The 14,682-nt window shown below is 37.3% G+C and overlaps 1 protein-coding gene and 1 long non-coding RNA gene across 13 annotated transcripts in view; one reads left to right on the top strand and one right to left on the bottom strand.

Moving 5' to 3' along the window:
* DPP10 (dipeptidyl peptidase like 10) overlaps nt 1–14,682 on the bottom strand; it is a 1,403,140-nt gene that overhangs the window by 705,909 nt on the left and 682,549 nt on the right. The gene's annotated exons all lie outside the window — the stretch shown is intronic.
* Nucleotides 8,018–11,306, top strand: LOC107985937 (uncharacterized). 2 transcript variants are annotated; one of them, XR_001739660.2, is made up of 3 exons: nt 8,018–8,045; nt 8,794–8,937; nt 10,365–11,306. It is a non-coding gene; the product is annotated as an uncharacterized LOC107985937 (long non-coding RNA). The 2 variants fall into 2 exon arrangements; XR_007087208.1 differs by lacking the exon at nt 8,018–8,045 and having other exon boundaries at nt 8,630–8,937.

Genomic DNA, 14,682 nt, shown 5'->3' with positions numbered 1-14,682 from the left:
GAAGCACACATTAGAGTCAGTTCATTGACCAAGTTCACTGTACTGATGGGAGGAGGCTGATTCATGTATCATCAGCACAGAATCGTCAAGGTATTTTATAACAAAGTAGTATCTTAATTTTTTTTTTTTTTTTTTTTTTTTTTTTTTAGTATTTTTACTTCTTAGATCTACCTTCCAATTGCAGGCTATTCAACTGCAGCATCCCTAGGTGTTTCACAAAACCTGCTTTTCACCTCTGGCCCACTTAGAAACTCAGTTCCCTCCCTTTCCTGACAAAGTTCAATTTATGTAACCATTGATACTCAGCCCAGAATGTCCATTTTATAACTGATCTTTCTGGATGGTTATGGTTAAATTTACAACCAGGTGCTTACTATATATTTCTCTGTCTCAGTAGTATTTGCCTGGCCTTTTAAAATGTAAAGTTTTTCGTATGTGTGTGTGGTAGGGGTGGGAGGGATTATGTCTTCCTAGAGTCCATTGATGATTTACGTGAAATAACTTAAAAATTAAAAAAATCTATGAACTTTCCTATGATTTTTGTCTCTGACACCATCTTACAAGACCAATTCTACAATAGCAACATATTTTTCATTTAGGAGATTAAAACTTTTAAACATCATGTCACCTGAGTTGCTTTTCAAAGATAATATGATATACCATAAATAAAATAAGATTATTATTTTGCATATTTCCAAGTTCCCTATTATAATTACTGGAAAAGTAACTATTTTAATTACTGTACAAATGTCTTTGCAAACACTTTCTTGGAAAATAGAGTTTTCTAGCAAGACTATAAATTTCAATCATACTTGGAGGAGGAATGAAGACTTATTTAGTTAATAAATCTGCATGCATCACATGTAGCAGTTTGTTTTCTTTTACCATCAACATGCAATTCATTTTTTTTACTGCCTGGAAGTTATTGACAATTTTAAAGACATTTTGCCCAGGTGTAAGCAATCAGAATTTACTACAGACTGTGAATCAAGGAAATACACATAAATTAAATGTAATGCAACTAAGTCATGGAGCTTAAATCTGAATAAACAGATATTGATCGAGTATTCTGATGGCATCTACAAGTACAATTCTAGATGTAAAAATTAATAATATATAATGTTTCAAAATGCCTTTTAAAATTGTCCGTTATAAAATTGAATTACCTTGGTACATTTACTGAAGTATTGCCTGTGTCCTTATTAATAAAAAAAATTGTGTTTTATTTTCCCAAATGAAATACATAGTAATCATTCTCACTCATAAGAGTTATTTTCTTTATGAGTAATTATATCCATGTTTGTCTTGTCTTTTAAAACAATGTTGAATAAAACATTGAGTTAATATAAATAAATGCAAACTGTAAATGTGTTCTAAAAGAAAAAAGAACTATTCTTATCAAATGCCTGTGCAACTGTTTCAACACAAATGCAAATCAGCCCTAATTTTATTTTCAAAATGCCACTCTTTAACCAATAGAATGCACAATCAATTTTAAACACCAGGAAGGATGCTTTATAATGCTGCTCTAGGGAAGAGACAAAATTTCTCATTTCTTCATCAGCACAGTTAAGTTGTATCACCAAATAATCTATGAACCCCTGATTAACCAGATGCCATTTTCCACCATCTGTCCCAGATTAAAATGCAGTGATGTGTTCAATAGGGCACTAAAAAAAAAATTGATAAGCTTTTTTCTTTTCTTCCAGATAGCCACCCAGACCCCCATGTAGAGAGGAAATGAAGCAGTGCAAGTATCTGTGCATATAACTTTTGGAAATGCAAATTAGAATTTAAAAACTCTTTGTTTCAGCTTTGTAATATTCATCTTAATACAGTGTTATGCATCCCCGTGCCTCTTTCTGTCCTCATATGATATTGTCTACTTTTCCTCCTTAAGCTCTGAACATCTCTGTCTTTATGCTGATGACCTTCATTTCTCTGTGTAAAGCTGTCTTAGCCAAATGTGACCTGGTGGGAATACTGGCAGCCTAAGTCTCAAAGTTGAATAGAACTTTGAATTGGCTCTTGTTCTAATAGTCTGACAGCACAGGTGTACCTAGAAGGTACTTGGCTGTATAACTTCTAAATCACAACATTCTCTACGCCCTGCCTTCTGTCCGTTGATAGGCCTTCATAGTTGGAGTTCACTCAATCTCTTAACAATTTCTCCCATTGGGGAATGATTTCTGCCCTCTGTAGCCCGCCAGTTATGAATGGACAGCTCTCTCCAAACCATAATTAATCTCTTCTTAACTAGAGCCTGGCCTCCTTTCTTGCCTGCTCCACCTGCTGTTAGACATTCCTAGGTATCCAGCCTAAGTGCCTTTCATACCTGGCCTGGCCAAACACTCAGGACAAAGTGATGTGCACCACGCATTTCTCTCCCTATGTCGCTATCCTCTGCAGGGTGGATAGTTGTTCATCCTCAGTCTTGCCACATCCTGCACTTTTCCCACCAGTCTGTTTGTCAAGGGGCAACCCTTCCTCAAGGTTACACCCATTGCTGTTCTGATACCACTGGTTCACTGCCAGATGGCTCAGTCAGATGGATGTGCTAGAGCAAATCAAATCACTGGCCAGGGCTGGGATTCTTTTCTTGCACTCTCTAAAGTTCTATTTATTTATTATATTAGTTGTAATTCTATCACTGCCTATCAGAAAATGAAAACCCCAAATAGATGCTCTTCCCATACAAAGGTGATGCTGGATATGCCCTTTGAGTTTATTTTCCATTAGCACAGATGACCTCCTCTTCCCACCAACTCCTCTCTCCCTCCCACACACACCCTCACACGTGGCTTTCATGTTAACTACTCTGGGACTGCCTTGTTAAGAGCAAAGTCATCTGGACTATTCAAGGGAATAGCCACAAACTCTACCTAGTACAAAAGAGACTGAGCTAACTGAACTTCAGACCTAAAGGGAAGGAGAACTAATGTAGTCTACATCATTGGTAAAAGGAATGTCATCTTTAGGTGAAAATCCTTTAAAATATATTTTGGATGGGTGATTTTCTAAAATTATATTGCTCTGTGCCTCCTTACACTAGGGATTTTAAATATTATGACTTGGGTCAACCTCTGAAACATCCATTTTTGTACTATTCCTCCAAAGATTATTTGTATACATGTAATTATTGGCTCCTCAAATAGATAACCTCAGATTGCTTGCCTCTGTAAATCATTATGTCTGCTTTATGGTTTTTTTTTTATTCCATCCCTTTGCAGTTTTTGCCTTTGCTGATTGTTAGAAGCATTTCCCCTTTTAATCCCTGGGCAATGAGACAACCATGTTTGGGAGAACAGGTCATTACATAGAAATACACTGGTTCTAACTGCCTGAGTGTGTCTTTTGAGAATACATATACATGAGCTTTCAAGAAGAATAATTTTTGAAGTATTATGACTTTACTTTGTAGCCACATCTGACCAGTTGATGCGACCTGTAAATACTATGAGAATAACATCAAGGCTAGAGAAACATTGCCATCTGTTACTAATATTTTCATAGGACATCCACATCATCACAGAAACACTGGGACAGGACACACACAGGTGCGCTCTTCCATTCATAGACCTAAACACATTTTCTGTAATGGAGAGTCCAAGACACTTAGGGGTGCTTAGAAAGATTGAGTATGCAGAGAATCCTCCTCAGGGCTACTGCTGCACAATAATTGCTATTTACATGTTTGTTTTTTTTTTCAGCATAAACCAGGTAGCTGCTGTTTTGTGCCCTAAGTGTCTATCCATGGCATACTCCTCAGAAAATCAAGACATCTCTTTTTTCTTCCCTGTTCCTTCCACTTCTTAAATATAAATAATTTAAACAAATTATCTGCCTCTCACTTCTTTAAAAAAGAAAAAAACTCTCCTGGCAGAAGATTCTAAATGACAATAGGAGGTCAAATTAGCAAGCCTGACTGCTCAAGCTCAAGGCAGATGTGAGAGAAGCTTTGCTACTGCTTATGACCTTCCTGCACATTTACCCTTTTGGCATGAGAATCACAAACCATGAGGAAACTTGCTTTTGATCCTTAAGATGGAAGCCAAGAAACCTTCTGCAAAATGGTCTGGAATTATGTGTAAAACATGTAAGATTGAACAGCCAGCCTCAGCGACTCACAAGAAATTATCTCCTGGGCCAAGTTGGTGATTTGATATCACCATTTATATTCACTACAAGAACCAAAAAGGCCCGATTTTCCATGTTCAGTTCAACCTCTCCAGGAGGTAAGAGAATAGAAGTTCATTGTACTGGAGAGTAGAAATGATTTCACTGAGCTTTAAAATGTTCCATTTAAAATTATGAACAGTGTTTTAACAGATGGGCCATTCTACCTACTATCTCATGGGGCAGCACTCATAATGCTGAGGCCTTCTCTGTTTTTCGCTGACCTTGAAAATGGAATGTAAAACTGGGTTTCTGGATAAAACAGATGGGTGAGGTGCTATTATAAGGAAAGTAATAATTAATATATTCTCTATATTGGGCCAGTATGCAAGAAGGTAGATAGGGAATTGAGGCAGGATGCACATATTAGGAAGGAAGGAAGGTTAAAAAGCAATGCAGAAGGAAGTAGAAAAGCTATTATGTTCTATTTGCTCATATATATATATATATATATCTCAAGGGCCCCACTTCAGAGGATCTATAAAGAAGTACAACCCTAAAGTATGCTCCTACAATATGCTGTTTTTACGTACATGACGGTGTTCAACTCTCTATCTCCAACATCTAGCATGCTGCCTGCTGGATCAGTTTAGTACCTGCCTGACTGTTTGAGCTAATAGGTGGAAGCCTTCTTCAGTGTTCTCCAGCCATGACTACTCTTCCTAACCTGGGTTTGAAATTAAAGTGTAATTTCACAAATTAGTGCCATATGCCATTGCTTGTGTTCTGTTAGAGCAGCAGTGTGGAACGTTCCCTCCCTCTGTCCAGGCTGCACGATGGCCTCTTGCTGATTCTCTCCCAGAAATCTTCTTTAATCTGATGTAAAGCCTTGTCCTAAAATACACTTATCTTGCTTTTTCATGAGCTTAAAATTTTCCATTACTAAAATAGCAAAACGTAATATAATACAACGAAACCACTGTTTTCATTGTGGTGTTTCCTTCCAGTCATTTTTTTTTCTACAAATGCACTTACCCCTGACCCTGTTGATATTGTAAATATTTTATTATCCATTATGCTATTACTCTGATCTTTTTAGATGAAGGCCCTATTTGCGTCACTGTACCTTCTTCATACTTTGAGCTATTGGAGGTAGCATGGGAGAAGCAGAGTGGACAAAGATTTTGGAATCAGACATACAGATTTAAATTCTGGCTTTATCATGTACTAGACATGTAAGCCAGGAAACATACCTGACTTCCTCCTCACTCAGTTTTCCCATCTAAATGTGATTATAGTAACACATATTTCATATGATTGTTTTGAATATCAACATTAGGCAGTCTACGACGTGCACCATCCAGTCAGCCACTTCATGCATAATAACTATCACCTCCATTCCTCAACCCCAAAGAATGGGTCCAAATAGTTACTCTTATTTGACGTAATGCTACTGACATGTAACATATAGATGAAACCTCCTACTAGGAAATATTTAATAGGTACTTAAACTTAGGAGTGAATCAATTGTTTCTTCAGAAGGAGTTCTGTGAATTTGTACTTAAATGTATATATGAAAGAATTATTGTTCTTTATCATGTCTCATAAAAGATCTTTTTCCTAATGTTATTTCCAATCTTCCAGCTATTTATTTAACTGTATTTAAGATCGATATTCTCAAAAACAAACCAAATGATAATAACATCCTCATTTTATTAGATGTGTTTTCAGAGAAGCATAATTTTATTTTCCTTTAGAAGTTCATCATAACCAGTTGTCTGTTAACGTGGGGACAAAGCAATTCCTGTAGCGTGATGAGTGTTCCTTAATAGCACAGCAAGGCCCATCCATCAATTTAGCAAACATTTATTGATGGTCATGTATGGTAGAACACAGTGCTAGGTATCGTGGGGTGAATACAAAATAGCTGGAAGATAACTTCACAGACAGACCTGATTAAAACACAAATAGATAAGCAGTTTAGCTCATTTGCGTCCAAAATGGTCTTCACCTATCTTAAAGACTGTAGATTGTTATAATGAAAACAGCTCGGGCCTTGAAGTAAAGCAGGCAAAGCTTTACTTCCTCCCTTTAGCAGTTAAGAGCTGCGTTTCCATGAGCAGCTCACTCATCTTCTCAGAGCAGCATTCCTCATCTGCAAAATGAGCTTTATATAATAGATACCTCACGACGCCTGATAAAGTTTTTGGCATTAAGTACTCCATTGTTATTTTCATTTATCTTTCCTCATTTTTCTCTATTGAGAACATGTCCTTATCAATAGAGTTGTTATAAACATTAAATGAGAAAACTTATCTAAATGCCCATGAATAACAGGTCTTAGACTCTGGTAAGTACCCAATGTTAGTTCAGTTCCTTGGTCTTAAATTTCCTAAACAGAAATGTTCCTGGCCAATTTGTTTTTGTTATTGTTGTTGTTGTTTTTTGCTTTTTGTTTTAGACGGAGTTTTGCTCTTGTCACCCAGGCTGTAATGCAATGGCAAATCCGAGATTTCACCACTGCACTCCAGCCTGGGTGACAGAATGGGACTCTGTCTCAAGAAAAAAAAAAAAAAACTATATATATATATATATATATATATATATATACACACACACACACACACACACACACACACATACATATACATATATATAGATTGGGAGATTTTGCTCTGTTAAGATTTTAGGATTCTTCATAACCCCCTGGAATAATTCTCTTTTCCAAACCCCAGCCCATGAATCCAAACTATAAGATAGCTTCCAACACTCTCCTTCAGAAGAAGTAGTTTTGCAAAAAGGAAATTTCTAACACTACTTGTAGGCATGGAGAATTCTGGAATGACAGAAATCATACCTGCACAGAGTTTTTAGGTATAAATCAAGATGTAAAGGAACAGGAGTTTTTCATATATGAATGAACCATCTCAAAATAGGATGGGCAATTAGTGGGGTTTATTTCTAAAGTCTGTAAACCGTAAGTAAAATTTTCAGTTCCGCCAACTGGCTGAACTGACAAACTTCTGGCCAAGGGGACCCTAGAAAGACCTGAAAACCTGAATTTCCAGCCGTAACTGGAAGGGAGGTTGGACACACCTCATTATATCCCCTCCCTTTTGGAGCTTAGGCATAAGTGACAGGCATTAAAGTTAAAACAGAGATCCTAAGACTGACAAAAAAGAATCCTTGTGGCAATAAAATGCTAAATTCCAACCTGATTCTAGTATAACATCACATGACAGAAATGACAGAAAGCACATCCCGAAGGAAATAAAATATTTTACCATAAAATATATTTCTTTGACATATTTTGAAATGACAGCAAAGCTGTCTTTTGTGGGGGAAATTTGCATCAGTAGAGAATCTCCATTAATGCGGCCAGGCCTTCCCTTTCCAGACCTTTTTCAGATCTAGAAAAGATTAAGTAAGAGTCTGAAAACTTTCAAGTTCCCAAAAGACACATTTACCATCTATTCTCTGTAAGGACTGCAACTCCTGAGGCTTCATCTACATAACAGAAACCTTGGTCATCACAACACCCCCAATCTTAACTTGAGCATTTCTGCCTACTAACTTCAAGTCTTTAGACAAAGACTTCCAGTCTAAAGATAAAGCTTAACTCTTACAACAAATTCCAAATCAGAAATTATTATTATTATTATTATTTTGAGATGGCGCCACTCTGTCGCCCAGACTGGAGTGCAGTGGCACAATCTTGGCTCACTGTAACCTCCACCTCCTGGATTTAAGCAATTATCCTGCCCCAGCCTCCAGAGTAGCTGGGATTGTGCCACCATGATCGGCTAATTTTTGTATTTTTTTTTTTTTTAGTAGAGACAGGGTTTCACCATGTTGGCCCGGCTGACCTCGAACTCCTGACCTCAGGTGATCTGCCCACCTTGGCTTCTCAAAGTGCTGGTATTACAAATGTAAGCCACCATGCCCAGCCCAGAAAATCTTTGAATCCACCTCAGGATACCTGTAGGCCTCAGGATCTCTTGAGACTGTTCCCCAGGCCATGGTCACTCATATTAGCTTGGAATAAACCTCTTTAAATATTTCACAGTGTTTGTTTTTTCTGATAACAAATCAGTAGCTAAGGTAGGAATTCTTCAGATGGATTTGAAAGCATGTTTTTTATTCAGAATCAATTTGAACTTTTATTTTTATGGACTGCTATATTTTCTTTTTTTGCTATATTTTTGCTATTTATTTGCTACCCTTCTTCTTCTTGTTACTTTTTGAGACAGGGTTTTGCTTTATGGCCCAGGCAGGTGCACAGTGGCTCAATCAGGGCTCACTGCAGCCTTGACCTCCCGGACTCAAGCAATCCTCCTACCTCAGCCTCCCAAGTAGCTGGGACCACAGACACATATCAATATGCCTGGCTAATTTTTTAATTTTGTAGAGACAGGGTCTCGCCATTTTGCCCAGGCTTGTCTTGAACTCCTGGAATCAAGTAATGCTCCTGCCTTGGCCTCCCAAAGTTCGGGGATTACAGGCATGAGCCATTGTGCCCAGACTATTTGCTATTATTTTAATTTTGCTTCATGTTCATCTATTTTCATAGATGTTGGAAGGGAGTGTTGTCTGAGAAACCACATCTCATCTGAATTACTCACCTTTCTATCCTTTTACATTGGTATAACCTCAGGAGCCCTTCCTTGCTTTTGGTAGACCTGCAAGAACAAACCCATTGAGATGGCTACAGAATGAGAAGGGAAGCTTTTTCATGGTGTAAGAAGTAAGAAAAATTGATTAGGAAGAACTCTGTGGGTAAGGAGAAAGAAAACCTACTAGGAGACCATTATTGCAGTGAAGGTAAGAAATAATGAAGAAATTCTGAATTAAGTTGGTAACTATGTGATAGGAAGGCAAGATAGACTTAAGAGTTGTTAAGACAGTGGAATTGACAGAATGCAGGGGATAATTGGATGTGCACAGAAAAGGAAGTAGGAGTTGAGAAAGACTTTTCAATTCTACCAGCCCAGCTAAGGAATATAGAATGGAAGAGGTGGGGAGAAAATAAGTTTAGTGTGGGTTGTATTGACAGGGAGAGATATCTCACATTCAGAGAGGCATGTGGGAGAAAAGGCATGGTCACTGATGAAAGGAATCAGTAGCTCTGGATCTGGTAGTTGAAGTCTTGAAAGTCAGAAGCATCATTTATAAAAAATGTATAGAGAGATTAAAAAAAGAAAGCTGAAGATGAATGGATGGATGGATGGATGGATGGATGGATGGATGGATGGATAGATGGATGGATGGATGCATGGATGGATGCATGGATGGAAGGATAATACCGATTGGATGGGAACACAGATGTGGGGAAATGAGAAAGAACCATCTGAGTCTCTGTGGAATCGGAAGAGGATTATTTCTCAGAAGCTGAGGAAAAAGAGAGTTTTAAGGAAGAACGTAACAACAGTGTCAAAGGTGACAGAGAGACCAGACAACTGAAATTCAAAAAATGCTCAATATGTTCAACAATTTTAGGTAATTGTGACTTAAAAAGTTTCAGGAAAATGATGGAACAAAAATGCAAACAATGGGCTGAAAAATGCCTGGCAAGTGGAATAGCCTACAACTTCCATCTGAGCTAGCTAACTATAGGGGAGGCAGACCTCAATGAAACTTTTATTTTTGGAGTGATAGTAGAGATATATGGATAGGAGGGTTTTGATTAGATGGAAAATTAATTGTGAAAATGGTTTAGTGAGTCCTAAGCAGGTGCACTTGCTGAAAGGAAAAAGAAAGAGAAATATTGAAGACAATGCCCAGGAGAACAGAAGAAGTTAAGAGAGAGAGAGATGTCTATATACCACGTGCCTCAGCCCACAGTGAAAAATCCAGGGAACACTTAGAACAGAGCTTCTCCAACTCTAATGAGCATAAGAATTGCCAAGGACTTTTGTTTAAATGCGTATTCTGAATCACTATGTCTGGAGTTGGAGCTGCAATTTTGCATTCTATCAAACTCTCAGGGGATGCCTATGCTGCTGGTTTCCTGACAACACTATGAGAAGTAAGGACACAGAGAACAGTAGGATGACTCAGCAAAATGGGCTATCAGGTGTAATCAGTGTAAGTGCAAAGTAAGAATATACTTTGGCAAATGACAGAAATCGTGATGGTTTGGCATGGCAAGAATATCAAGGAGGAACAAGAATGCATTCTACAAATAAGTGATATATTCATTAAGCATATATTAAATTCTTATTTAACCCACATATGCCTCTCCTTTACAGAGCATAGAACAAGGCTCTCTGGAAACTTAAGGGAATCATAATATGCCTGAGAAAACATAAACAAAAATTATCTTAATGACAAATAAGTGCTTCGGAAATAAACAAAGGCCAAAATCTGTTAGAGATGGTAGGTAGACAGCTCTCATATTTCCGTGGATTGCATCCTCATGAAGGATTTTCAACTTGTCTTTCATTTTGAAATTGAATAAATATTGGAATGCATTATCATCCACCCTCCCTACATTCATCTATAAAAGGAGACATGACAGATGTAAAGTTCCTATCAATATGTGAACAGCAGAGGGAAAAATGAGGCTGCACCCTGAATTGAAGTGATCCTATCTCTTTAAGCCTCTTTCACACTGGAGAGCTACAGGAAGCCTGAGTTTGAAATCATTTGGTCCAGACAGAAGAGGAGAAGCAAGGACCGAGTGTCATGAAGAGGGAAACATTGCCAGACTGTCAGAGGTTACCTAATATCCTTTGATGGGTTTCCTCCTGTTTCCCTGAATCTGGGATGACTGTCCCCTTGAACTGCTCCGGTATCTTAGCCAATGGACAATGTATTGTTACTCCCCTCCTTATCTATTCGTGGTTTTTGCACACATACCATGAACTCATAAGTGTTGAAGGATCTCGACGTGTAAAAATATTTGTAAGAACAAGTTCAGTGACTAGAAATTTGCTAGCTGGTTTGAAATAAAGAGATACACATAAAACTATATTATGAACTGGGATCACCCAAATTATCTTCTGCAGGACATTATTCTACTAGAAAATATGGACAAAATCATAAGGACAATTGTCAGTTTGATGCTGACAAAATTTTGTAAAATTCCTTATATTAAAACCACTCTTCACTATTAGCAGGAGACTACACATGTTCTAATGGTCTGAGAAATACTGCAGTAAATAAATCTGGTTAATTTTGTTTAAACCAAATGTTTCTGAACATTTTTGCATTATTTTTTAAGCCATGGAAATTTTTATATCACAAAAACTATCAATATCTCAGGGTCTTAGTGCTCCTCAGAGGAATTATGAGGAAATATTTAACAAAGATTGAGCTGTTCGCTACAGTTGGTTTAAGTGCAATTGCAATTAGGGAGAACAGCGATCACTTCCGGCGTCTAAGGGAAGCATTAATAAGGAGTTTGAACTGGACTTGAATGATGTGAGTATTTTGATGCATCAACAAAATAAGATATTCTGGGCTGGGAGGGAAGTCAAGAGGCTTAACAGAATAAATACAGACGTGAAGGAGGAAATGGTTCCGAGTTCAGGTGTGTTTAAGGGACAATGAAAAAAATCAATATGTCTGGAGAGGAGGGTTTTGATTGAGTAAAAATCAATTTGGGAAGGCTGATTATAAAGACCCTTGCATTTTGGATTAGGTTCTATGAAGATTGAAGTATGCATTAATTGCATCCAGAGGGGAACAAAAAGGGAATATGTGTTTAGCATTCTGAACAAACCATTTTCTTACTTTTTTCATTTTATTTTATTGTTTTTCTGTTTTTAAATCTAACACAAGCACATGGTCAAAACTCATAACATGAAAAAGATAAACAAAAGAAAGTTAAAATAACTGATAAACGCATGAACTAGGTATAATGAGTTGACATAGGGAGTATATCCTTTGCCACTTTTTCCGAAGTGTACACATGTTCACACACCCATTTAAAAAAATGTCAGCTTACACCATGGCTGAATATGACAGTCACAGTGGCTGTAGACTAAGCTACTAAGGGGCAAGTAAATAAATATAAATGTGTATAGTAAAGTAGAATGCACAGATGACAAAGATGTAGTCTTTCACACAGACAACATTACAAATTAAATATGTGGAATGTCCCTTGTTTCCACAAAGAAATATTCTTTCTTTTTGGACTACACCTCTTTTATTTGAATCATACAGCTATTCGGGTCCATTTTTAATCTTACCCATCTTGATAGAAACACAGATATTTACAAAATATATTTTCAACTCTAATATTAGGGAAAAAATGATAAATGCCATCTGACTCTAGGTTTCAGTGTATGGTAGGCAAAGACAGAGGTGGGGTTGGGGCTGAACTGGAAAGCCACCTCCCTCTGTGAGTCTAAGCACCATACTGCAGCAGTAGCTGCTAGATGAAATTGGGCCCAGAGTTGGCAGAACTTCATGATTTTCAAGAGAATACAGGAATCCAGAACTTATATAATATTCTCTATTTTATAACAAATAAGAATTAATCATTTTAACACGAAGAGAATCAGTATTCCATAGGTGAAACAAAACACACACAGGACTCTACAGTTTTTCTCTAGTTCTTACAGATGCCCACAAAATAAAACAAAATACAACAGCAACAAACTTTCTCATTCTTAACAGTTAGGGTATATTACTGTGCAACCTCTCTGGTAGAAAATCTTACAGCCCAAGAGTAATGGGCATTTTCACTTACTAGACTTTTCCATCCTTTAGGTGTGACCTGGTACAATATTTACATTTGTGTTAGCATATTATGAATCTTTTATTCTAAACAAAGTTGTTTGGAAAGTCTATAGAATTTCAAAAAAATATGCTATTGAATGTATATTTTGTGGTTTTAGGTAGGTATCTTACCCATTGGAGGAATATCTATTCCAAAATGCCACTTAGGTTATTTTCAAGAACCCCCTACTCAATATTGATGCAGCTCTGTGCTTCTGTAGCAGTGGGAACAAAGCTGTCTGTGTTGAACTGTGGAATCACAGTAATTAGTACAAATGCCTGTAATCAGGGAAAGGTTAGGTTGAGAAAAGAGGAATATAAATGTCTGTGACACTCAAAAAGAAACAAGAGAGAGAGCATCGGAACAGCAAGAACAAAAAGAACAGTTGAACTTCACTGTAAAAAACAACTCCGATTATATATATATTTCATGTAAAACCTGCATTTCAAATGTAAACTTTTCTCTTATTTCCAAATTCTTATCCAGGTGATACTCTTCTTTTATCTATTTATATCATTAATATCACTTTTAAATAAATATCTTTCAACTACTCCGGGTGGACAGAAAGAGAGCATTCATGTTCAGTCAAGACTGTTCAAGAATAGAAAATACAAAATATCTTGAAATGTGGCCAGGTGCAGTGGCTCACGCTTGTAATATTGGCCCTTTGGGAGGCTGAGGCGGGTGGATTGCTTGAGCCTAGGGGTTCAAGACCAGGCTGGGCGATGTGGTGAAATCCTGTCTATACAAAAAAATACAAAAAATTAGCCAGTAGTCCCAGCTACTTGGAAGGCTGAGGCAAGAGGATAGCTTAAGCCCTGGAGGCAGAGGTTGCAGTGAGCCAAGATCACACCTTTGCATTCCAGCCTGGTCAACAGAGTGAGGCCCTGTCTCAAAACAAGACAAAACAAACTTGAGTACAATAAAGTACTATATAATTTTTGTCAGTAGCAATGATGGTGTAGACTAGAACAAAATTATATAAGATAAAGGTATTCAAAATATGGGTTGCTTTCAATAAAAGTATGTATTTGGTCATTTTGGAAATATATACACGATCTCAATTATGAAACAGGTACCTTTTTACTTAGCCTGGTAATATGGCTTGGTAAAAATCTAATTTAAATACATGTTTAAAAAGGTATTATGGGCTGGGCGCGGTGCCTTGCACCTTTAATCCCAGCACTTTGGGAGGCCAAGGAGGGCGAATCAAGAGGTCAAGAGATCAAGACTATCCTGGCTAACGTGGTGAAACCCGGTCTCTATTAGAAATACAGAAAAAAAAAAGAAAATTAGCCCTGTGTGGTGGAGGGCACCTGTAGTCCCAGCTACTCAGGAGGCTGAGGCAGGAGAATGGCGTGAACCCGGGAGGAGGCGCTTGCCGTAAGCCAAGATCATGCCACTGCACTCCAGCCTGGGCGACAGAGCGAGGACTCTGTCTCAAAAAAAAAAAAAAAAAAAAGCCATTATGATCTATTGAACTTAGGTGGCTCACTATTTGAGGAAGCAAAGAAAATACTTTAAAAATGGTATAATTGGCTTCTAATTTTTCTGATTTCAAAGCTTATATATGTTTGGATTTCTTGAAATTGGAAATACCATTTTCCCTCATAGGGAAAAGAACAAAAATAAATAACTTTCTCAAGTTTTACAGCACCAACCAAGATCCAAGTTTCTATCCTTAATTTTGTCTTTTCCTGTTTAGAGTTCATTTGAGAAATCTTTAAAAATATACATCATGTTATATTTTATACTCAGAGATGATTTTTACAAGATGAGATAGAAGAAATACTTTTTTGTGGTCTCAAGCCTTTTTTATCCTTGTATTTTACTGATCTCAT

Source organism: Homo sapiens, chromosome 2 (assembly GCF_000001405.40).
Source record: "Homo sapiens chromosome 2, GRCh38.p14 Primary Assembly".
Taxonomy (NCBI): domain Eukaryota; kingdom Metazoa; phylum Chordata; class Mammalia; order Primates; family Hominidae; genus Homo; species Homo sapiens.
This window is presented reverse-complemented; position numbering and strand designations above follow the sequence as displayed.